Source organism: Homo sapiens, chromosome 7, assembly GCF_000001405.40.
Source record: "Homo sapiens chromosome 7, GRCh38.p14 Primary Assembly".
In the NCBI taxonomy this organism is placed as follows: domain Eukaryota; kingdom Metazoa; phylum Chordata; class Mammalia; order Primates; family Hominidae; genus Homo; species Homo sapiens.
Genome location: NC_000007.14, coordinates 86,963,051 through 86,988,930, shown reverse-complemented (window position 1 = coordinate 86,988,930; position 25,880 = coordinate 86,963,051). Strand labels below are relative to the sequence as shown.

General features: G+C 38.8%; 1 protein-coding gene across 10 annotated transcripts in view, besides 1 other annotated feature; it reads left to right on the top strand.

Annotated features, from left to right (window-relative positions):
• Positions 1 to 25,880, top strand: part of ELAPOR2 (endosome-lysosome associated apoptosis and autophagy regulator family member 2) — a 182,749-nt gene that overhangs the window by 70,724 nt on the left and 86,145 nt on the right. For 5 of the 10 annotated variants that reach the window (XM_011515918.3, XM_017011843.2, NM_001142749.3 and 2 more), the window contains exon 2: positions 23,907 to 24,027. The exons of 2 other annotated variants lie outside the window; for them this stretch is intronic. In XM_011515918.3, coding sequence (XP_011514220.1) covers positions 23,907 to 24,027 — 121 coding nt within the window. Of the gene's footprint in view, positions 1 to 7,243; positions 7,260 to 23,031; positions 23,123 to 23,906; positions 24,028 to 25,880 lie in introns of those variants that run through there. 3 more of the 10 variants (NM_152748.4, XM_006715894.4, XM_047420042.1) reach the window with 2 other exon arrangements.
• Positions 9,806 to 9,895: a silencer, noted in NCBI's record as "silent region_18340". NCBI's record gives its function as "represses an Ori minimal core promoter by ATAC-STARR-seq in GM12878 lymphoblastoid cells {active_cell/tissue: GM12878}" and the evidence as "EXISTENCE:reporter gene assay evidence [ECO:0000049][PMID:35858748]".

The window sequence follows — 25,880 nt, the reverse complement described above, 5'->3', positions numbered from 1 at the left end:
TTTTTAAACTTTGAGATAAATTTATTTTTGGATGAGTGGGATATATTTTTGTTCATTGTCTCATGCAACAAAACATGTACTGTGAATCAGTTGTGTGCAGTTTAAGGCTGCATGATCGGTTCTATGAGATTTAGAAAGAGATGGCATTGTCTTTTCTCTTGGTTGCTTAGATTCTCCAGGGGAGGGGGTCAGGCACACTCAAGGTAAACATATCAAGAATACTTTATTATCGTTTTGACACATACTTTTTGAAAACTGTCTTTAAACTGTTTTGTAGGAGTAATGGCAGTTACTATGATCGTTGTACTGCCTAGGATACACTTGTTTCTCAGTATCTGTAGGGGATTGGTTCCGGAACCCCTAGTAGATACCAATATCCTCCAATGCTCAAGTCCCTTCTATAAAATGACATAGTATTTGCATGTAACCTACTCACATCCTTCCATGTACTTTAAATCACCTCTAGGCTGCTTATAATACCTAATACAATGTAAATGCTACATAAATAGTTGTTATACTGTATTATTTATTTATTTGCATTTTTTTACTGTGGAATTGTTATTTTTAATTTTTTTCCTGAATATTTTTTATACTTTAAGTTCTAGGGTACATGTGCACAACGTGCAGGCTTGTTACATAAGTATACATATACAGCTGGTCTGCTACACCCATCAACCCATCATTTACATTAGGTATTTCTCCCAGTGCTATCCCTCCCCCCACACCTGACCCCACGACAGGCCCTGGTGTGTGATATTCCCTACCCTGTGACCAAGTGTTCTCATTGTTCAGTTCGCAAGTATGAGTGAGAACATGCGGTGTTTGGTTTTCTGTCCTTGTGATAGTTTGCCCAGAATCATGGTTTCCAGCTTCCTCCATGTCGCTGCAAAGGACATGAACTCATCCTTTTTTATGGCTGCATAGTATTCCATGGTGTATATGTGCCACATTTTCTTAATCCAGTCTATCATTGATGGATATTTGGGTTGATTCCAAGTCTTTGCTATTGTGAGTAGTGTCACAATAAACATAAGTGTGCATATATCTTTATAGTAGCATGATTTATAATCCTTTGGGTATATACCCAGTAATAGGATCGCTGGGTCAAATGGTATTTCTACCTCTAGATCCTTGAGGAATCATCACACTGTCTTCCACAAAGGTTGAACTACTTTACAGTCCCACCAACAGTGTAAAAGCGTTCCTATTTCTCCACATCCTCTCCAGCATCTGTTGTTTCCTGACTTTTTAATGATTGCCATTCTAACTAGCGTGAGATGGTATCTCATTGTGGTTTTGATTTGCATTTCTCTGATGACCAGTGATGATGAGCATTTTTTTATGTATCTGTTGGCTGCATAAATGTCTCCTTTTGAGAAGTGTCTGTTCATATCCTTTGCCCACTTTTCGATAGGGTTGTTTGTTTTTTTCTTGTAAGTTTGTTTAAGTTCTTTGTAGATTCTGGATATTAGCCCTTTGTCAGATGGGTAGATTGCAAAAATTTTCTCCCAGTCTGTAGGGTGCCTGTTCACTCTGATGGTAGCTTCTTTTGCTGTGCAGAAGCTCTTTAGTTTAATTAGATCTCATTTGTCTATTTTGGCTTTTGTTGCTGTTGCTTTTGGTGTTTTCATCATGAAGTCCTTTCCCATGCCTATGTCCTGAATGGTATTGCCTAGGTTTTCTTCTAGGGTTTTTATGGTTTTAGATCATACATTTAAATCTTTAATCCATCTTGAATTAATTTTTGTATAAGGTGTAAGGAAGGGATCCAGTTTCAGCTTTCTACATATGACTACCCAGTTTTCCCAGCACCATTTATTAAATAGGAAATCCTTTCCCCATTTCTTGTTTTTGTCAGGTTTGTCAAAGGTCAGATGGTTGTAGATGTGTGGTGTTATTTCTGAGGGTTCTGTTCTATTCCATTGGTCTATGTCTCTGTTTTGGTACCAGTATCATGCTGTTTTGGTTACTGTAGCCTTGTAGTACAGTTTGAAGTCAGGTAGCATGATGCCTCCAGCTTTGTTCTTTTTGATTAGGATTGACTGCAATGTGGGCTCTTTTTTGGTTCCATATGAACTTTAAAGTAGTTTTTTTCCAATTCTGTGAAGAAAGTCATTGGTAGCTTGATAGAGATGGCATTGAATCTATAAATTACCTTGGGCAGTATGGCCATTTTCACGATATTGATTCTTCCTATCCATGAGCATGGAATGTTCTTTCATTTGTTTGTGTCCTCTTTTATTTCGTTGAGCAGTGGTTTGTAGTTCTCCTTGAAGAGGTCCTTCACATCCCTTGTAAGTTGGATTTCTAGGTATTTTATTCCCTTTGAAGCAATTGTGAATGGGAGTTCACTCATGATTTGTCTGTTTGTCTGTTAATGGTGTGTAGGAATGCCTGTGATTTTTGCACGTTGATTTTGTATCCTGAGACTTTGCTGAAGTTGCTTATCAGCTTAAGGAGATTTTGGGCTGAGACAATGGGGTTTTCTTTTTTTTTTTTTTTGAGACGGAGTCTCGCTCTGTCGCCCAGGCTGGAGTGCAGTGGCGGGATCTCGGCTCACTGCAAGCTCCGCCTCCCGGGTTCACGCCATTCTCCTGCCTCAGCCTCCCAAGTAGCTGGGACTACAGGCGCCCGCCACTACGCCCGGCTAATTTTTTGTATTTTTAGTAGAGACGGGGTTTCACCATTTTAGCCGGGATGGTCTCGATCTCCTGACCTCGTGATCCGCCCGCCTCGGCCTCCCAAAGTGCTGGGATTACAGGCGTGAGGGGTTTTCTAAATATACAATCATGCCATCTGCAAACAGGGACAATTTGACTTCCTCTTTTCCTGATTGAATACCCTTTATTTCTTTCTCTTGCCTGATTGCCCTGGCCAGAACTTCTAACACTATGTTGAATAGGAGTGGTGAGAGAAGGCATCCCTGTCTTGCACCAGTTTTCCAAGGGAATGCTTCCAGTTTTTGCCCATTCAGTATGATATTGGCTGTGAGTTTGTCATAAATAGCTCTTATTATTTTGAGATATGTTCCCTCAATACCTAGTATATTGAGAGAATACATGGACACAGGAAGGGGAACATCACACACTGGGGCCTGTTGTGGGGTGGGGGCAGGGGGGAGGGATAGCATTAGGAGATATACCTAATGTTGAATGATGAGTTAATGGGTGCAGCACACCAACATGGCACATGTATGCATATGTAACAAACCTGCATGTTATGCACATGTACCCTAAAACTTAAAGTATTAAAAAAAATACCTAGTGTATTGAGAGTTTTTAGCATGAGGGGCCCTGAATTTTGTTGAAGGCCTTTTCTGCATCTATTGAGATAATCATTTGGTTTTTGTCGATGGTTCTGTTTATGTGATGGATTACATTTATTGATTTGCGTATGTTGAACCAGCCTTGCATTCCAGGGCTGAAGCCAACTTGATTGTGGTGGATAAGCTTTTTGATGTGCTGCTGGATTCGGTTTGCCAGTATTTTATTGAGGATTTTTACATCAATGTTTATCAGGGATATTGGTCTAAAATTTTCTTTTTGTTGTGTCTCTGCCAGGCTTTGGTATCTGGATGATGCTGGCCTCATAAAATGAGTTAGGGAGGATTCCCTGTTTTTCTGTTGATTGGAATAGTTTCAGAAGGAATGGCACCAGCTCCTCTTTGTACTTCTGGTAGAATTTGGCTGTGAATCCATCTGGTCCTGAACTTTTTTTGATTGGTAGGCCATTAATTATTGCCTCAATTTCAGAGCCTGTTATTGGTCTATTCAGAGATTCAATTTTCAATTTCTTCCTGGTTTTGTCTTGGGAGGGTGTGTGTGTCCAGGGATTTATCAATTTCTTCTAGATTTTCTAGTTTTTTTGTGTACAGGTGTTTATAATATTCTTTGATTATAGTTTGTATTTCTGTGGGATTGGTGGTGATATCCCCTTTATCATTTTTTATTGCCTCTATTTGATTCTTCTCTCTTTTCTTCTTTATTAGTCTTGCTAGCAGTCTATCAATTTTGTTGATCTTTCAAAAAACCAGCTCCAGGATTTATTGATTTTTTGAAGGGTTTTTTATGTCTCTATCTCCTTCAGTTATGCTCTGATCTTAGTTATTTCTTGCCTTTTGCTAGCTTTTGAATGTGTTTGTTCTTGCTTCTCTAGTTCTTTTAATTGTTATGTTAGGGTGTTGATTTTAGGTCTTTCATGCTTTCTCTTATGGGCATTTAGTGCTATAAATTTCCCTCTACGCACTGCTTTAAATGTGTCCCAGAGATACTGGTACATTGTGTCTTTGTTCTCATTGGTTACAAAGAACATCTTTATTTCTGCCTTCATTGTGTTATTTACCCACTAGTCATTCAGGAGCAGGTTGTTCAGTTTCCACGTAGTTGTGTGGTTTTGAGTAAGTTTCTTAATCCTGAGTTCTAATTTGTTTGCACTGTGGTCTGGGAGACAGTATGTTGTGATTTCTGTTCTTTTACATTTGCCAAGGAGTGCTTTACTTCCAACTGTGTGTCAATTTTGGAATAAGTGCAATGTGGTGCTGAGAATAATGTATATTCTGTTGATTTGGGGTAGAGAATTCTGTAGATGTCTATTAGGTCAGCTTGGTGCAGAGCTGAGTTGAAGTCCTGGATATCCTTGTTAACCTTCTGTCTCATTGATCTGTCTAATACTGACAGTGGGGTGTTAAAGTCTCCCATTATTATTGTGTGGGAGTCTAAGTCTTTTTTTTAAGTTTCTAAGGACTTGCTTTATGAATCTAGGTGCTCCTGTATTAGGTGCATATATATTTAGGACAGTTAGCTCTTCTTGTTAATCCCTTTACCATTATGTAGTGGCCTTCCTCTCTTTTGATCTTTGTTGGTTTAAACTCTGTTTTATCAGAGACCAGGATTGCAACCCCTGCTTTTTGTTGTTGTGGTTTTCCATTTGCCTCTTAGATCTTCCTCCATCCCTTTATTTTGAGCCTATGTGTGTCTCTGCACATGAGATGGGTCTCCTGAATACAGCACACTGATGGGTCTTGACTCTTTATCCAATTTGCCAGTCTGTGTCTTTTAATTGGGGTATCTAGCCCATTTACATTTAAGGTTAATATTGTTGTGTGTGAATTTGATCCTGTCATTATGATGTTAGCTGGTTATTTTGCCCATTAGTTGATGCAGTTTCTTCCTAGCATCGATGGTCTTTACAATTTGGCATGTTTTTGCAGTGGCTGGTACCAGTTGTTCCTTCCCATGTTTAGTGCTTCCTTCAGGAGCTCTTGTAAGGCAGGCCTGGTAGTGACAAAATCTCTCAGCATTTGTTTGTCTTTAAAGGATTTTATTTCTCCTTCACTTATGAAGCTTAGTTTGGCTGGCTGTGAAATCCTGGGCTGCAAATTCTTTTCTTTAAGAATGTTGAATATTGGCCCCCACTCTCTTCTGGCTTGTGGAGTTTCTGCTGAGAGATCAGCTGTTAGTCTGTTGGGCTTCCCTTTGTGGGTAACCCGACCTTCTCTCTGGCTGCCCTTAACATTTTTTCCTTCATTTCAACCTTGGTGAATCTGACAATTATGTGTCTTGGGGTTGCTCTTCTCGAAGAGTATCTTTCTGGTGTTCTCTATATTTCCTGAATTTGAATGTTGGCCTGCCTTGCTAGGTTGGGGATGTTCTCCTGGATAATATCCTGAAGAGTGTTTTCCAACTTGGTTCCATTCTGCCCGTCACTTTCAGGTACACCAATCAAATGTAGATTTGGTCTTTTCACATAGTCCCATATTTGTTGGAGTCTTTGTTCATTTCTTTTTACTCTTTTTTCTCTAAACTTCTCTTCTTGCTCTATTTCATTAATTCAATCTGCAATCACTGATACCCTTTCTTCCACTTGATCGAATTGGCTAATGAAGCTTGTGCATGTGTCACGTCATTCTCGTGCCATGGTTTTCAGCTCCGTCAGGCCATTTAAGGTCTTCTCTACACTGTTTTTTCTAGTTCGCCATTCATCTAATCTTTTTTCAAGGTTTTTAGCTTCCTTGCGATGGGTTTGAAATCCTCCTTTAGCTCGGAGAAGTTTGGTATTACTGACCTTCTGAAGCCTACTTCTGTCAGCTTGTCAAAGTCAGTCTCCCTCCAGATTTATTCTGTTGCTGGCGAGGAGCTGTGATCCTTTGGAGGAGAAGAGGTGCTCTGTTTTTTAGAATTTTCAGCTTTTCTCCTCTGGTTTCTCCCCATCTTTGTGGTTTTATCTACCTTTGGTCTTTGATGTTGGTGACCTACAGATGGGGTTTTGGTGTGGATGTCCTTTTTGTTGATGTTGATGCTATTCCTTTTTGTTTGTTAGTTTTCCTTCTAACAGTCAGGTCCCTCAGCTGCAGGTCTGTTGGAGTTTGCTGTATGTCCACTCTGGACCCTGTTGGCCTGGTTATCACCAGTGGAGGCTGCAGAACAGCAAATATTGCAGAACAGCAAATATTGCTGCCTGATCCTTCCTCTGGAAGCTTCATCCCAGAGGGGCACCCACCTATATGAGGTGTCAGTCGGCCCCTACTGGGAGGTATCTCCCAGTAAGGCTACACGGAGGTCAGGGACCCACTTGAGGAGGCAGTCTGTCTTTTCTCAGAGCTCAAACACCATGCTGGGAGAACCACTGTTCTCTTCAGAGCTGTCAGACAGGGCCATTTAAGTCTGCAGAAGTTTCTGCTCCATTTTGTTCAGCTATGCCCTGCCCCCAGAAGTGGAATGTACAGAGGCAACAGGCCTTGCTGAGCTGCGTTGGGCTCCGCCCAGTTAGAGCTTCCCTGGCCACTTTGTTTACCTACTCATGCCTCAGCAATGGTGGATGCCCCTCCCCGAGCCAGGCTGCCGCCTCGCAGTTTGATCTCAGACTGCTGCACTAGCAGTGAGCAAGGCTCTGTGGGCATGGGACCTGCCGAGCCAGATGCGGGATATAATCTCTTGGCTTGCCGTTTGCTAAGACCATTGGGAAAGCGCAGTATGTGGGCAGGAGTGTCCTGATTTTCCAGATACAGTCTGTCATGGTTTCCCTTGGCTAGGAAAGGGAAATCCCCTGACCCCTTGTGCTTCCCAGTTGAGGTGATACCCCACTCTGTTTTGGCTCACCCTCAGTGGGCTGCACCCACTGTCCAACCAGTCCCAATGAGATGAACCAGGTACCTTAGTTGGAAATGCAGAAATCACCCGTCTTCTGCGTCAATCACGCTGGGAGCTGCAGACTGGAGCTGTTCCTATTTGGCTATCTTGGAACTGAAGAAAGTAAGGGAAGTAAGTATTCCCAGAAGGAGGTGCTTCCTGAGTTGAGGCTTGCACATGACTAGCGGTTCATTAGTTGCCTGAAGCAGAGAAGCACTCTCCAAGTGGAGGGAACCATGTAAGATCCTCCAAGACAGCTAGAAACATTTGTTATGGTTTGAGCACATGGTTTAATGGCAGATGGTGGGAGGAATAGCTGGGAGGTAGTTAGGACCAGATCATAAATGATCTAGAATACCACAGTAGACAGATCAGTTTAGTGGATTCATGAGGGGGCAGAAGCCAGATCACAGTTAGTTGAAGTGTAGATGACAGATGATAATGGCAGTTAGTGAGCCCAGACTAGTCTTTCAGGAAGCACAGCTGGGAAGAAATGGAAAGGAGCTAGAGAGTGGCGTGAGATGTATCACAGAGTCCCAGCAGGAAACAGATGGCTTATGCAAAAGTTCAACTGAATAGAGTTTAATGAAGAAACTTTTTATGGAGGTATGGACCAATTTAAGGGAACCGACAACAGAAGTGTGAAGAGCTAGCAGCAACTGGTTAGCACTTGTAGATCTGACTCTTCTGCAAGTGGAGGAAATGGTGTTCTGGAAGCTCAGTGGCTGTGGAAGGCAGAAAGGAGATAGAGAACTCTCTCTAATCTCCTGCTGATGCCTCCCATCAGATGAACACCCAGAATCTGTAGTGCAAAGGAGCCTGAGTGATACAGTCCAGAAAGGTCAGCCTCTCCAGGCCTGCCTTGGAGACTGGATCTGAAGAGCAAATGGTGAGCCACCAATATGCAGGATCAGTGGAGATGCTGTTTTATTTTCTTAATAATGGGGGAAACGTTAATCATTTATTTGTTGAGGGGAGAGCCAGATGAGAGATAGGCATTACCAAAGCAAGAAAGAGGCAGAATAATTAATGGAATGAAAGGAACACGTTTAAGGAGAGGAGGAGATTGGAAGAACTGGCAGAGATACTTGTTTTGGAGAGTAGGAAGGATCCTTTAGTACTTGAGACCCACAGGAAGGAGGCATGCTTGTCAGTCTGTGCATGCCCAAACAGAAGATGGGAGACAATTTGAGGAAACTAATGCCTAGAGAGCTTTTATATTCTTGTCAACGTAGAATGCAAGGTTATTTGTAGAGAGTGAAGGGACTGAGCTTGAAACAATTTTAGAATTGTCATGAGGAGAGTGGGAAGGTGAACTGACTAGGGAAGGTGTCCGTAAAGACTGCAGAAAGCGGGTGGGGATCCAGCTGAGATAGGAAGTGCTGAAGTACTAAAAGCAAGTAATAAAAGAGGGAACTGCCTCAAATGTATGTTAGTAAGTAAATTGCTAAGGTTAGTAACTGTAATACAGCAAAGACAGAATTGTTCTTGTGCTATTTTTGGCACTTGGCTTTGCCTCACACATACTGTTTGATGTCAGAAACCTGGAATCTCAGATTTCTCTCAATACCATATTTCCTTAATTCAAAGGCACTATTTATTCTAAAACGTACCAGAGTTTTATTACCTTTTTTGGTAAGTGAGAGAAATTGCCACTCTGTTAAATGTACAATAATTTTTTCCAACCGACAATAGTATAAGTGTATCCACTTAATTTTGTATAATTTCTTCTTTAATATCTCTGTCAAAGACCAAGTCTGTGCTTTTGCCTGGAATATCTAGCAAGCTTGTCCAGCCCACATTATTTTGTTGTTGTTCTGTTTTGTTTTGTTTTAGGCTTTTAGCAGCCTGAAACCATGATTTTTAGTTTCTGTCTCTAGTGATAAGTGGAAAAAAGAGATGAGAAAGGGGCTTTACTGGCCCAACCAGAAACAGAAACGAAGAACCCACAACTGTATTCTCTCCCTTGGACACCCCTGGGAGTCTCCTGAGCTACTTCTGTCCGTGGGCAGTTTGTGAGATTGGGTGACATGTTTCTTTTCTAAACCTGTGCTTGGGATCCTAGCTCGCATTGGCTTGACCTGATACTACCTCTGTCTTGCCTTCCATATTAGTATCTCCCCAATTTTCTTCTTTTATTACTCTATACCCTGTCTTGCATTCTCTCCACATTCTGGCTTTACTCATGTCAAGTCTTTTGTGAGCTCATGCTCTAGCTTAGTTGGGTTTAGGCATCTGCCAATTAATGTACTTAATCAATTAGTTTTAACAGCATCCCATAAGTTAGGGCTGGACTGGTGTCTCATTTCCTATTATTGTTTTTGTTTGTTAGGCTTTAATTTATATTTCCCTACTGTGAATAACTTGAGCTCTTTTTATAAATACCCCTAAAAGCTTCTTTGTTCTACTAGGTTACACTTACGATTTTGTCACCTGTAGTTAAACTATGTCTCTTAGGAGTTATTCAGAAGTGTTTGGCAGATAGTATCTGAGTGACAGTCCTTCAAGATGCATGAAGTGGTTGTGTTCTAGCTTTTAAACTTAACGTGGTCTTTTCTCGGGGAGTTGGCAACTTTTGTCCTCTTAATTATATTACCTCTTGTGGCAGAGGTAATCTTTTGTATACATTAACTTTTGGTCTCTTTGCTGCATCATTGTGCAATCTTTATTCAGATGCTATAAAGAAAGTTAAAGGTAAATCCAACTCTTGTGATACAGGTAACTGAAGTGATAACAAAATGAGTGCATAGTTGGCCTATTAAATTTGCATAGGCATGGGCTCTGACACTTATTCTGCAAAGCTAGTGACAAGTTTCTTTTGATGTGGTTTCAAAAGTCTTCAAATCTGCATTTCAGAATTGAGGAAATGTGTCAGTACCTGCCTCACAGTGTTGCCACAAGGATCAAACAAAAAAATATACAGTTATAGTCATTATTTCCTGGTGTCTAGTATAGTTTATGACCTGAAACACAATAATTAAGAGTTTTCTTGGCACTCAAGCCTAAATATTACCATGTATATTTATTCCTATAGCCTTACAAGATAAAGAGGTGTAAGGCATTACAATCTTATTACAGATAGACAAGGAAATTGAGGTTCAGAGACACTGAGTGCCCTTCCTAAGGCACACAGTTGGAAAAATGATGGTGCTGGGATGATAATCAAGTTCTTGCCTCAGCCTCCTTCTTAGACTATAAACAATCTGCCTGCTTGAAGTTTCTGCAGTGAATCATGGAGAAGGGCCTGAGAGCACTGAGAAAATGTTCCTTTATTTTTCCCACAAAAGAAAGATATCCATAAGTACTGGTGAAAAGAGCAAGGCAAATAGGCTTTATAATTCCCAACCAGTGTGTCTTATATTTTTTCTTAATTTATTCCTAGATGAAGAGATGTGTATTATATTTTGTGAAAAGATAAATGTTTAATTTTCTTACTGGAAGTGTATTAGTCTGTTCTCATATTGCTATGAAGAAATATCTGAGACTGGGTAATTTATAAAGGAAAAAGGTTTAATTGATTCACAGTTCCACATGGCTGCGGAGGCCTCAGGAAACTTACAGTCACGGCGGAAGGCACCTCTTCACAGGGTGGCAGGAGAGACAATGACTGCAAGCAGTGGAAACGCCAGATGCTTATAAAACCATCAGACCTCACGAGACTCACTCACTATCACAAGAGCATGGGGAAACTGCTCCCATGATTTAATTATCTCCACCTTGTCCCACCCTTGACAGGTGGAAATTATGGCGATTACAATTAAAAGTAAAATTTGAGTGGGGACACAGAGCCAAACCATATCAGGAAGTGACCATGACATATTAATATATAACTTTTAAAAATATGAACAAAGAGAATGCCATTGAAAAGCCATCCTTATCCATATTTTCTAATTTTCTCAAGTAAATGTTAATACTTATTACTTGCAAAATATAAACTTGATATGATAAAGGGTATCTTAATTTTTAAATAAATGTGCTTAGAAAAATGATTGGCATCCTAACTGTGGTTATTTTTGGTTGATGATATTATGATAGGTTTTTATGTGCTTCACTATTTTCTAAACTCTTCATACTGAATATGTATTGCTTTGTAATCAGAAAACAAAATATTAAATATTGTTTTGAAACTGATGTAGGAAAACAGACAAAGCTGAGGAATTAGAAGACGTGGTAGAAAGTAAAGCTATTTTGGAACAGATAACTTGTGAAGAATTATTTTAAAATTTACTTTGAGGTTATTGATTCCTCAGGAGACAGGGTGGTGTTATGGTATTGAGAGTACAGGGAGAGGTATGATATAGGGAGAGACATGATATTGAGAGATACGGGGAGAGATTGGGTGAAAGGGGATGTTGCTAGCCAAATTCTGCTTTCTGTGATGTACAGGGAGGAATAATGAGGCATCAGCTTTTATTCTGATTTCTGTTTATGAAGTTTTTAGATTTAACATTAGCTCTTAGGATCCAGGACGGGAACTATAATGGTCATGAGGACAGGCTTTAGAGTTAGGCACTTAGATTCTAATCCCAGAACCCCTATAAATCAGCTCTATGACATTGGGAGGTTACTTAAATCTTTGTTGGTTTCCTTATCTGTAAAAACTCTGCCTTACAAGGTGGTCGACAGCACTAAGATATTGTGAACTTAGCACAATGATTGATATGTATCACTAATGAGTGGCAGCTATCATCACCACCACACTCATCAACCTTGACTGAGATTTGAGACATACATAAATATGAGTTGGTATTATAGAATTATTGCCTATCTCAAGTATCTGTTAGCACCCATAGTTGCAGTGACAGCAACCCGACTCACACAGTTTAAGCTTGAAAACACAGAACTTATGCAGGGCAGTTCTGAGGACCCCAGGCCCTAGAGTACCTTAACCTTATGCATGATGGTTGTAATAGATGCTTTACATTTTTTAGAGAATCTAATATTTGTGACATTTTGGTGGTGTTATATGTTGATTGTCTTTTCTCTGGAGCATTAGTCGGATTTTCCTTGTTCTTTGTATATCCAAGTGATTTTTGATCGTATTCTGGATATTTTTAATATTATGTTGTGAATCTCTAGATCCTTATAAAATCCTCTGTAGACGGTTGGTTTGTTTCAGCAGCCAGTTGACCTGGTTAGGTTCAGACCACATGTTTTTTCTCCCTTTTATGTGTGGTGGTTCCTTCCAGTGTCTATTCAGTTTTCAAAACTTTGGCTGTTTTTATCTTTTGTGTGTGTGGAGGGGGCAGGTGAGGGGCAGGATCATCTGCCCCTTGCTCAATACTCAGGGTTTAGTTCAGATAGTGGTTTATATTGTAGTTCAGCTCTCCATGCCTTTGCTATACTTCTTTGAGTATATTCCATATTTGCACAGTTTGAAGGTGAGCCTGGGACTGTTACTTCATAGACTGAACCAGAGGATTATCTTCTCTATTACTCTCTGGAATATTTTCTCAGGACTGCTTTTTATATTTCCTCTGGCCAGAAAGATGGATTATTGTATAGTTTTAGCCTGCATGTTTTTGTGCAATTCTACTTGCCTGGGATGAAGTGACAAGTGAAGGAAGGAAGAAAAAGAATAATAAGGATTTTCTCCTAAGCTCTTTGCACAGCTGAAGTCCCTGTTCTAGTTATCTTATCTAGAGAGAGAGGTTTTCTCTTGGCATATTAGGTGTTTGCATGGTTGTTGTGGAATCAGTGCTGTTCTAAGCTGGTGCTGGCCGTGGGGAAGGACTGGAAGAGAAAAAGAAGAAAAAAAGCACATGGATATCCCTCTCACTTTCTGATCCCATTTCCCCTCTCCCAGTACTCCAACCACAGGGATCTCTTTTCTTATTCTTCTGGCCAGAAAAATGGGCTTCTCTTGTAGTTTTTTGCATTCTGAACCCACTGTGCAATTCCCTGATTTGGCCCACCTTCAGCTCAAGGAGAAAAAGGAAAGAAAAGAAGCCCGGTAACTCCCTACCATTGTATTAGCTGTTAGAAAGTTTTGACTTTCTTATTCAGACTACCTGCTGTTTATTTTGCAGAGTCTTGCTTTTATATTTTGGGCAGAGTGGGAAAAAGAAACTGTAGCGGACTTTCTCCATCTTGGTTAGCACCAGTGTGAATAGTTTATTGTGACTGTCCAGATAGCATGTCCATATTAGGGCCTGGCCAGGGGTTGGCCCACTCAGAACTGCAAAGTGTAATGAGAGCAGGGGGCATGCTGTTACCTAAAGAAATAGGAAAGCCATGCCAGGCAGACAGAACAGCAGGTGTCTAATGTTTATGATTAAGAAGAAAACCTTTTAATAGATGTTTTAAGGTTAATTTTAGAAAGTATAGTTATGACAGAGGTATTATTAGGGTTACATTATTATTTTTTAAAAAATCTATTGATTTAAGAGATTCTTACAGGGTCAGTTGAGTGCAAAAGAACTTAAATAACTCACTTATTTTTATTTATCTCACAATTTGCAAACAAAAACATAATTTTGGATGTCTTAATGTTCAGAGCCATTTATCACTTATACTATTTCTGTACAAAGTAAAGCTCAATTTCAAGTGGCAGCATTGGCAAGAATCAGCTTTTACATTTAAATTGAATTTTTATAATTTTTTTTCTGTCTGAGATCTGCCAGCGGCTTAGCTGAATTCAGATGTGGAGTTATCCCTTCTGAAGCCAAATTTTGAAGTCAGCGAACTGTGCTGTCTGTGCTCCATCATCTCTTTGTTCTCTTTTCTCTCGTTTGACTATTCCCACTTTTCTTTATCCACTCTGTAGCAGAATCCTTCTTGTATCTGCTCATTTCGAAAGTACTTAAGCGTTAGATTTTCCCTTCTTCAGAACTTATCTGACCTGTGTCTTACTTATGACCTGGCCTTTAAAGCCTTGCTAGGTGAATGTCACCCATCAGGGAAAGTGATTTAGACTGAGGTGCTAATGAATGTTATGGAATAATCCTTCAGTGGTACCATTTGAATTTTCCCATGTCCCACCAGATATCCTAAAGTAAGGAGAAATATGAATTTTTTTTTATGTCTTGGCAAAGCAGTTAACTGAACTGAGGGAAATAAATATATTTTAACTGTAGAAAATTTTGATAATACATAATTATATAGAATAAAGATAGTCACATCACTTAGTTAACTACTGTCAATCTTTTGGTATATATGCCTATAGTCTTTTTTCATGTATCCAACACACACACACACACACACACACACACACACACACACACTACAGGGGTTCAGATATATTGCTTTATAACCTGTGTTTAACACTTAAATGTGTCATAAATAATTTTGTTATTAAATATACCTTTGTATTATTTTAAAATGGACTATATGAAATCTTATTATGTGTGTACCCTAATTTATTAACCAGTCTCTTATTGTTTCACAGTTAAATTGTTTTAAAGTTTTCACTATTTTAAATAATGCTATGATACAAACATGGCTTCCTTGGATTACATGCCTAGAAGTGGAATTGAGGTATCACGGGGTATATATAATATATTTGGAAATTTTGATGTAGTTTCTCTTGGTGCTTATTAAATAGTAAGCAGTTGCTGAAACCTTGCAAAAGCAAAGACGCCCTTTTAGTTTCAGCCTGATTAATTTAGAAGAATTTATTAGCTTATATACAGTTAAGTTTGTAACCATATATAATTAGACAGAACAAATGGGTTTCCAAGGATTTTGCTTTTCCCTTTTTGGAAAATTATACTTTCATATACCGTTGTGATTTTAATTTGGGTTTGGAATTAAAAAAAAAAGAAAATTACTATTACCCAGTTACGTGAAGACCCTTCAAGAGGTAGAGGGAGGGATCCTCCCTCCCTTCTAAGAAATTTTAAATTTTAGTTTATAAAGTGGTAGCTATCTTTCTTGCTATTCTTATGTTTGGATGTTGTCATATAATAGAAACCAATACTACCTTTAGACCAGGCAAGAGGGGCCCCTGCCTTGGTCTCTACTATAGAGGGTCCTCCTCTAGCTGTGTTCCTCTTGTTGCTTTACAGTCTGTGGGCCAAGGAGCTGTGGCCACCTGGATGTCATGCCCCACCTTCTTTTTATCATACTCTGCTAACATGACTTTGAAATTACCTGCCTAAAAGATCCAAGATTGCTTCCAGGTCCTTTGTGAGGTTTCCCAGGTCCATCTTCCTGATGTATTAATAGACCATACCATTGTGCAGGAACACTTACCAGAGTTGGATGTGCAGGCTGGGGTTGCCTTTTGTATGTGAAGCAGACCTCTCAGGGTGCAGGATAGGTATTGAGGAGGAAGAGGCACATTGATTTATGCTCCTGGCCTTGGTCCTGCAAAGAGTAGGGGTGGACCTGAAAGAGAACCTGTTACACAGTGATTTGTTATCATACAGATTTCCACATGCTATTTCAAGATGTGGGCAGAAAGAGCCTTCCGGGCAGAGAAAAAGTCACTTACATGCTGGGGTCTGGAGGCAAGGAATTGTATAGCATGTTTGATCCTGTAGTTTCAATATTTCATATATGAATAATGTTAAGAAATGAAGCTTCAAGCAGCAGATCGAGAATGAATTGAAAAAGGCATTTTATGCAATCCAAGATTGTAGACTTTATCCTCAGGCCAATGGTAAGTCATTCTGGGGTTTTGAGCAAGGATGACATAATGAGATCTTCCATTTAGAACTGGCTGTGGAGTGTAGTAGGTGTGGGCAAGAGCAGAAGCAAAGAGGCCCATTAGGCTGATGGTGGTGTTCATCTGGACAGCAGGAGATGAGATTGAAATAGGTCAGTAGCCATGAGGATGACCCTTGCCTACTATGTGGGACCATACTGTGGACAAATTCAAGTGGGTTAATGTCATGAAAATTATTTTGGAAAGCTTACAGAGTTATGCAAATGTTAATATTTTTAATGACAATAGTAATGATCATATTATGGATAAAGATTACATTCCAGCTAATCTCAATTCTAAGGTAAGCAAGTGTGAAAATCAGCTGAAATGATGTGGGAAAGAGTACCAGTGTAGGGTATAACATCCACTGAAGGCACCTTTGGGAAGGCAGGAAGATGGCTCTGCTAGTCTTTGGGGGTGGTGGTTCAAGCGGAAAGGACAGTGGCATTGGAGGTAGCTTGACTTGGGTTTCAGTGTTGGGGATGTGTGCCCGAGGTGGATCTCATCTTTCATTACTTAGCTGTTTACATAGTTCCATTTAAAAAAAAAAAAACAAAAAACTTTTTTTTTTTCTTACTTGATGTCCCTGAATCTGTAACCTCCCTAGTTCAATTTTTTCCCAGAGGAAATAACTCTTCTCTTGTCATGATGTGGAAGGGAAACTGAAAGGTTTACATTCTGTGAGCAAAAGTTCTCTAAAAAGGAATTTGGAGGAGAGTTTATTCCAGTGAAGAGTCTGCAAACCAGGGAGGTGCAGCCTTTAATGAAAAGGAAGTTGCATTCCTGAGAACAAAGGAGGGTTAGGGTTTTATAGCAAAACTCACTGCCCGGGTTCCCAATCAGATTCATTTGTGCAAATGAAGGATTGACACTGTCTTGGTTCTGATTGGGTGGTGCAGCTGAATTCTGATGAGCGATACAACCAAGCTCTGATTGGCTGGGGCAAAAGAGCTTTGATTGGTTGGTTCCAAGCCTCAAATCAGAAGTCTCTGTCAGGTATTTGTTTCCAGTGGGCTTGTGGGGTGGTGGTTTCTGGCCATGGTTTATCTTGGCACTGACAATAAGAAATGGTTTGGCTTGATTGTAGAAAGCGAGGTCCTCTAACACTTTTACATCTTTCTGAGAACACAGAATGCATGACTGCTTCTTCACCTAGCCATGGTTGCCTGGTTCTTTTTAAACTTTGACCACCTCAGATAGCCACAGGGAGTCCATATTGTCTGTCAGCTTGGGGCATACTTTAACAATTCTCAAACAGATTTTCAACCAGTCTTTCTGTTTCTAGATAGATTTTTTTTCACCTCTGATTTCTGAGGTTTTTGGTACCTTCAATTATGAGTCTTTCTGCAGCTTAAATCCCCATCTCTGTTACCCTTAGCTTTCGGCTTTTCTTGCCTTGATAAGTCAATTAGAACTCACCTATGCTTTTCATCTTCCAGAAATAATTGTTGCCACCTGCATCTATTGCTGTTTTCACTTCTCTTTGGTATTTTTAATCCTTTACTCTGCTCTCTTTAGAAACTCCATTCTTTTGCAGGTTGGTGAGGAGCAGAGATAAACATATATTTAATTCAATAAGTTTAAATGTAATTAGATAATAGAACGATGCATGTGCTTGAAGTCTGTCTTATACAATAAGATATACTTTAAATGTGAGAAAGCTGATTTTAAAAACATTTTCCTCATTATCTTCGATGAGGGTTTTAGTTCATATTTCTAATATTATTGTAGAATGTCTAGCTGCAGGTTTCTTGAGAAAATGGAAATGTTTCTTTCATTTATTCATATGTAGGTATGTTTTAGAATGTTCATTTTTTGAAAATTTCCTGAGAAATACATGGTTACAGAATGTGGTTGGTTTCTCTTTATCAAGAACAGTGAAAATATGGAACATAGACCATAAGATGTGAAGCATAGCTTTTTCTTTCAAAGATTCAAAGGAACCTGAGGTTCAAAGAGTTAGTTGCGTCACTTAGTCTTAAATATAGTAATGGCAGAGGTGAGGTTGGGATCTAGGTTTGTTGTTACCAGTTCATTGCCTGTTTTTTTACAGCGATTGAGAGCCATAGAAAGAAAATAGTCTAAGCTGGATCTTTCTAAGAAAGAAACCTTATGTACTTTCATTAAAACTAGAATATAAGCCCCATGAGAGCAGAGAATTGGATATTTTGTTCACTGCTGTATCCCCAGAGTCTACACAGTGGCATATGGGAGGTACTCAATAAACATAAATAATTTCAAAAATGAATTGAGCACCTGTTTACAAAGATAGACATTGAACTCAGGTTTAAAATATGAACTTTTTCCAAAATAATTTCTAAAAAGAAATACAGTGGCCACAGTGAAAAGGATGTGTCATAAATAGATCAGATACATATTACTTAGCAGGTTTCCATGGTAACATCATGTTCCTTTTATAAAAGAAAAACTTGAATATAAATATTGCTGCACAGTTCTGTGCTCATGTACTTAATAATGTAGGCTAAAGGAGCTCGTATAAGTTGCATGTATTTCTGCATTAAGTATTCTCCTGCTTTTGGCCTTTCCACATAGTAGAATGAGGCATGCACACTCATTGCAACTGGAATTGAAATAATTGTGCCACTGCAATCTCTTGTTGTCTCCCTTTTTTCCTCTTGCCATTTTGCTCTCTCAAATAAGTGTGCCAAGTTCTTTGCTGAGCACTTAAATTCGGAAGCCTTTCTCCCAGAGGATTTGCGGTCTCATCAAATACAAGGTTATGGTGTTCTCAACATTTCACATTAAAAAATTCAAAGAGAAGGAATTTTACATGAACAAAATGAAATGAAGAAAATTAATTACATTTACTTCTTTTTGTCCTTTCCATCTGTGTGTGTTCTAGGTACCAGCATTTTCTCTGCTTTGAAGATAGAGGCTTTCTACTGCCTCTGCTGCTTTTGATTCTGTACTAGAATTTGTGGTCATCTGCTGTATCTTGATAATTAACTGCAGTCAACTCTTAACTGCCTACAGAAGATAGACAGGGAGCAATCAGGGAGCTGATTTTCTCATTGGCAGTTTACTAATGTGAGCTAATCTGAGTATAGAAGACCCGGAGACTACATTCACTCACTCACCTATTCATCCACCCTAGGCTGAGGCTGATGTATTTCACTGCACAGCTCTAGGCATAGTTTCATCAGGCTTGATCTTGCTGCTTACCACATCCTATCAAACTAGCTATTTTCAAAGGAACTGGTAAGTGCTAATATAGTTACAAATCCTCCCATATTTCAGGGTCTTCTCCTTAAAGCCTTTTCTCACTGTTCCAGCTCACAGAGCTTTCTTCTGACTTTGAAATCATAATAAAATAGGGTCGCATTTTGTATACTCTTCCGCACATACTCTACTGAATGCGATTCTAACATTTAAAGGTCCTTAGAAAATCTGAGAGTTAAGGAATTTTATTGGAAATTTTGACAAGAGTTTTTACTTGGGCACTGACTTGTGATGTCACTGTTCCACTTTGAGCCCTTATTCTTTATGCTTTCTTATAAATTTATGTTTTTTGTGTGTGTTGTCTACTTCAACAAAATCATAAGCTTATTGAGTACAGGGACTATGTTTTACTTAAAATTTCTCCCATAACCCTTAGGCCATCATAATTATTTAATAATTAAGTGCCAGGAAATAATGATATATATTAATGAAAATGATATATTGCTATATGCATAAATCATATTTAAGATGCAATATATGTTAATGTCAGTATATAAAAATATATATGGTCAATGTGTCAACATATATACATATTATTTTTATTTTATTTGAAAAATTATCTAGTCTATATTTTAACTGTAAGTATTGTTATGAGAATTGGGAGATGATTCCCTGGGGATTTCAGTGAGCACCATGCAGCTTTTGTAGTGTGGATGACTTTGGTGTTTGAGGGGGTACCATGACATCCAGTATTTACTTGGATGTATCCTGAATTTTTGTGTTTTTGGTGTAAGATAACACAATTTGAATTTTTGTTATTCAAGGATTCATATCTGTACTTTGATTTGTGAATGTGCATGTCAGTGTGTGCAAGTTCGTGCCTGTGTAGTGTGCCATGATTTATATGGAAGGGTAATTTTTCCTTACATGTTTTGTGATGAGGAGTAATTCCATGTTCTATTTCTTCTTGGGATGTTTCCTGGTTTCCATATATTTACAATGCAAGGTTTATAGGGAATTTTATTGTTTTATTATTTGGGGCAGTGTCTCCACACCCCAGCATTCTGTGCTTTGCAGAATGTCTAAATAACTGCCATCCTTTGAGTTGGCATGGGCCCAGGCACTTCTTCCAGTTTATAATTTGGAGAGTGTGGCTTGTGAGCTGATGTTCTGTTGTTTGGAGTGTGCTCTGACTCATATCAATGTGTTTGTTGATAAACTGTCAGAAGCCCTGAAGTGTAGGGAAAATTGTCAAGAATTTTCCCCTTTTCAGGAAAAATTGTGAAGCATGCTAAAATAGGCAGAAAAGATTATTGGATGTGCTTTTTAGTGCACCTTTCAGAATGATCAGTTTCTATAGCAGCCTGCACCTTTCATTGTCTTTGGACTGTTTTAGAATGCTGAGTTGTAGGTAACTGATAATAATACAAATGATTTTTGTCCATAGAAATGAAAATGTATTTTATCCTTTGAAATGCAATTGATTATTACCCTCTGGATATTTACCAGTTTTGCATCTCCCAATAAACTCATTTCACTTTCCTAATTGCCTGTTTTGGTATGTCCTTCGAATTCTCCTTTGAATTGGTGATAACATCTTACTGGTTGACTTGCTAAATAATGACAAAATTTTTGACATGTATTAATTTTCTATTTGTATGAGAAATAATCTACTTTTTCTTTTAAATGATCCTTTGAAAATTTCCGTTTCCAAGGGGCCAGTTTTAAGTGCTCAATGTTTACTTGCATCTGTGGTTAGAGTTTTGGGGTGTTACCTATAAACCTGAAAACATATGTGCTGTAATTCTCTTTATTCAGTACCCTGAATGCCATTCAGAATATTTGGAAAATATACATCGTACCTTTCGCAATTTTACTGTACCACACTGTTTCTTAGATCTTTCTATGGATTTAAGGATTGACTTTAGAAGCAGATTTTTTTTTGTTGTTTTTTATTATTTGTTACCAGCCCAAATGAAGTAGCCTGTTAAATAATTTAAAATAAAACCCATTTGATTTGGGCTACTATCTAAATCCCTGACCCCAAGGTCTGCCCTCTGCATGAAATAGGTTTGCATTTCAGTATTTTTAAATTGTAAAGAAATAAATTAAAGCTTCCTGCTGAACTCCTAAGAGTTTGGTAACAATAGTAGCTGTAGCTTTCTAATTAGAGTCCTTGAGTAATCTAGAGAAGGCAGATAGGATAAAGGAGTCTTAGGAAAATTAATTGGCACATGACATCCAACATTACAGCCAGAAAACACAATACCTTTTCCATGTTCTGATTGCTGTTCTCATCTCATAACTGGCAGGCTGAATAACAGAGGCAGTGATGGAGGAAAGTTTTTTGGAGCTTACCTGTTTTATTCAGAGGCCTTGCTTTATTTGAAATTCATATGACTTCACAGTATCATTATTTTGCTAGGATGATAAGAAATCACCTAAATTTTATATATAGGGGCCAGAATCTTTTCAGTGGAACATGGAAATAAGACAGACATTATTTTATTTTATTTTTGAGATGGAGTCTCGTTCCATTGCCCAGGCTGGATGGAGTACAGTGGTTCAATCTCAGCTCACTGCAACCTCTGCCTCCAGCATTCAAGTGATTCTCATGCCCCAGCCTCACAAGTAGCTGGGAAGCGCACACCACCACGCCCGGCTAATTTTTGTACTTTTAGTAGAGACAGGGTTTCGCCATGTTGACCAGGCTGGTCTCAAACTCCTGACCTCAAGTGATCTGCCCACCTTGGCATCCCAAAGTGCTGGGATTACAGGGCTGAGGCACAGCTCCTAGCCAAGACATACATTCTAATACAAATAACAAGGAACAAGAGAAACAAGAAAGCAATTATGCAAATACATGGCAGGCCAAGGCTATTCTACCATGGGAGGGTGTGGTAGGCTGAATCATACTCCTTCCTACTGCCCCTGTCGTCCAAAAAATCCAAGTCCTAATCCCCAGAACCTGTAAATATTATTTTTATATGACAAAATAGGACTTTGAAGATTTAAAGTGAGAATCTTGAGAAAGTGAGGTTACTGGGATGGGCCCTAAATGCTATCACAAGAGGAGGAGAAGGCAATGGTACCACAGAGGCAGAGACTGGAGTGATGAAGCCACAGGGCAATAAATGGTGGCAGCCGCCAGAACCTGGAAGGGTCAAGGAGTGGATTCTCTCCTCAAGCTGCCTAAGGGAGTGTGGCCTGGCGATACCTTGATCAGCCTTGTAATACAGCTTTTGAACTTCCAGCCTCCAGAACTGTGAGAGAATATATTTCTGTTGTTTTAAGTTGCTAAGTTTCTGCTAATTTATTACGGCTGTTATGGGAAACGAATACAGATTTTGGTACCTTGAAGGGAAGTGTTGTTGTAACAAACACCTAAAAGCGGGAATGTGGCTTTAGAACTGGATAATGGGCAGAGGCTGGGAGAATTTTGAGGTGCATGCTAGTAAAGTCTAGATGGCCTTGAACAGACTGTTGGTAGAAATGTGGATTTTAGAGACTGCCTGTGAAGGCTCAGAAGGAAGTGAGAAGCATGGCAGAAAATGTCTGTATCATCTTAAAGAATATGTAAATTGTCATAAGCAGAATATTTTTAAAAATATTGAAAGTGATACTAGTGAGGGCCCCGAAAGAAAAGAGGAATATCTCATAAATAAATAAATATTTATTCCAATGTTTCCTCCAGGAAATTGGAGGAAAGGTGACCCCTTTAATATAGTGGTAGAAAGCTTAGCAGAATTGTGGTCCTATGTTTGTGTGGAAAGCAAAACTTGTAAGATGAGCTTGGATATTTAGCTGAGCAGATTTCCAAGCAAAGTGCTGAAGGAATGGCCTGGGTTCTTCTTGTTGCTTATAGTAATTATGAGAGAAGCAAGATACATTGAGGGAAGAACTGTTAAATAAACGGGAACCCAGACTTGATGATTTGGGAAATCTCAGCTTATCTAGATTGCAAAAAATGTTAAAATTAGGACAGTCATTGTTAGCAAAGTGTGCTATGCAGAGAAGGTCAAAGACAATGGCCTTCTCATTCCTGATGTCCGCATGGTGATGTGGCTTGATGTTTCTATTCTCACTTGTCATTGACACAGTGAGGGAGGCAAAACAGTGTGGATGCAGCAGAATAACCACAACCAGGATTTTGAACTGAATAAGTAAGGTATTGAACTGAAAACAATTTGGGGTAGATTTGGAATTTCTCACATTCTTAAAATGCTCCAATAATATTTTGTTTGGGTTCTTCTCAGTTTAAATATCACTTATGTGTAATGTGCTCTGACCAAGGGAGGTCATTGTGAGAATTTCAAAACAATCAAAGGCTGGAGACAAGTGGGTTGGGGGTTGGTTTTAATTTGGCAGTTGTAATTAATGGTCAATTTTAATAGTCCGTAATTGATGGCAGCCTGCTGTGGTACATGTGTGGTAAGCCTGGGAGAGCTGCTTTAAAAACTTGTAGTCTTTTATTAGTATTTGATGATTAATTTTTACACCTTCTGTTAAATTTTAAACAGAGTGAGAATTAGGTCAATGGAAGTAGTTCTCTTGTTTCTTTCTTTGAAACACATGGGACAATGACAGTAGTCAAATTCCTAGTGTTATTTTGCTCTTTCTCCTACTCACATCTATCAGTTATTTAGAGCTTAAAAAGCCTGCAAGAGATAGGGAAGTGTGCTGTAGCTTTTCTGGATGGGTGAGATGAAAGGATAATGGTCACAACCTGACAGCGTTGACTGTCCTGTCCTGCATCATCTCCTCAGCACCTACTCTGTGTCTAGCACCATACCTCTTTGATCAATAAGCTGCTTGGTGTGGGTGGGATGGGGGAGGGATAAGAATCAAGGAGAGGGTACAGCTTGGAAACAGGGGCTTGGGGTGATAGAGAAAGCACAGTTGTCCCGTTAGAACTGGCTCTAACAAAGGCTTGTTTTTGTGATTGTTTGCAGAAAGATTATCACTTTGAATATACGGAATGTGATAGCAGTGGCTCCAGGTGGAGAGTTGCCATTCCAAATTCTGCAGTGGACTGCTCTGGCCTGCCTGACCCAGTGAGAGGCAAAGAATGCAGTATGTTTTGTCATTTTGACCATTTGTTTTCTTGATTAAACAATTACCTCTTCATATTAGCCCTAGATGTTAATTATAATGAATGTAGGAGACCTTACAAAAATGAGCATATGGCATTGATAACCAGCAGAATAAATGCAGCCTTTCTCATCACTAGATGTCCTTATATCTCAAGTCTGTAATGAGACAAAGGCAATATTAAAGAATGTTATTATTTTTTTTTAAAATCTATTTTCTTATTTGAAACCATGGGAGGGCAGAGTGGCAAAGTTTCTTTTTAATGGATTTTTTCTTATTTTAAAAATGTTAAATTCTGTTGAAATACACATAACTTAAAATTTACCATCGTCACCATTTCTAAGTGTCTAGTTCAGGGGCATTAAATATATTCATATTGTTTACTATCATTACCACAATCCATCCACAGAAATCTTTCATCTTGCAATGGATATTTTTTTTAGCCATAGAAATAACTTAATTTTTTTTAGTATAACCTACAGAGAGATTATAGAATTGCTGGATATCACATTCAACAGCTTGTCTTTTGGGAGGTTTGAAGTACAACATTATAAAATAACAGAGAAATATGAAATAAATGTAAATGTAAATTTATTTTCACTTAAAACTTTACTTTTTAAAATCGTTAATTTAGTTAATTTAGTGAGTTAGGGGTTCCTGCAGCAAAATAGTCGAGAGGGTAGACTAAAGTTTGAAGCTGGAAATAAAAGAGAGGGAGTGTATTTGGGTTTTCCTGCAGTCTTCCAAGTGGTATTCCTAAAAGCTTAGTTTTTCTGTTTCCAAATGAAAGATCAGGCAAGCAAATTCTTAACTGGATAACTAATCTCTTTCTATTCATAGAGAGCATTCCTCTGTCACTAGCTGGAGGAGTTTTAGCATAATTGGTGGATTTACTGATAAAAGGGAAACTGCAATAATCTTATGAGGAAAGTTAGGGAAAAATACCATTATTTCTTGGTGAATGATATTAATGAGTGAATTCAGGGAGAACCTGAGAGCCCCTCAAGTGGGCAGGTGAAAGCTTCAGTGTAGCAACAGTCTTAAGAGACAAGACTTAAGAGACAAGAGCATCTGTATAGAAGAAGTTGATGCAAGTGTGTGAAACCACTCGTGCAGAGGGCAGATGAGCTCTCAGTGACAGAGGAATGTGGTTGAAAGGGAAACAGAGCCTGAATCATACCTATGTAATTAGCCCACTGTAAATTTGCTTCAGTCACTTGCCTAGAAAAATCTATATATCATTTATCTATGTTTACTTTTCATTTGTGGGCTAATTCCTTGGTTTTCTTGTAACAACCCTATTCAAGTGGACTCCTAACCATTTTGAATGCCAACTTCATATCTAGGTGGTATGGTGGTCTTGGCTAGCGCTGGCTTTTGAGAACTGATTGTTAGTTTGAAATGGGTCATTGTAGAGTATTGTATCCATGAAAACTGGCAAACACTACAAATCAAGGGCATCCCTTCCCTTGGGAGCTGGATTTTAAATACTTATCAGCATAGCACTGATTACATTTGTTGGCTAGGGGTCAAAAATCTGTTACAGAATTGATGCCTGCATAGGAATCGGTTTTAGTTAAGTGTTGCCAGAGACATTTTTGCTCATTATATACTATAAGGTTCCACAGATAACATTTGGAATATGACACTCTAGCAAGCACTTTTCTAAAAATTCTGACTACTAATCAGGTCACTATTAGTTATTACTTGCCTTAAAAGTGATTCTTGCTTTAAAAATGATAATACTTTTCTGATAATACTTCAAAAATAATAATACTTTTGGCTGGGACATTTTTTATCTTTGTGTTTTGTCTGAAGTCTGAATTTCCAAGTAT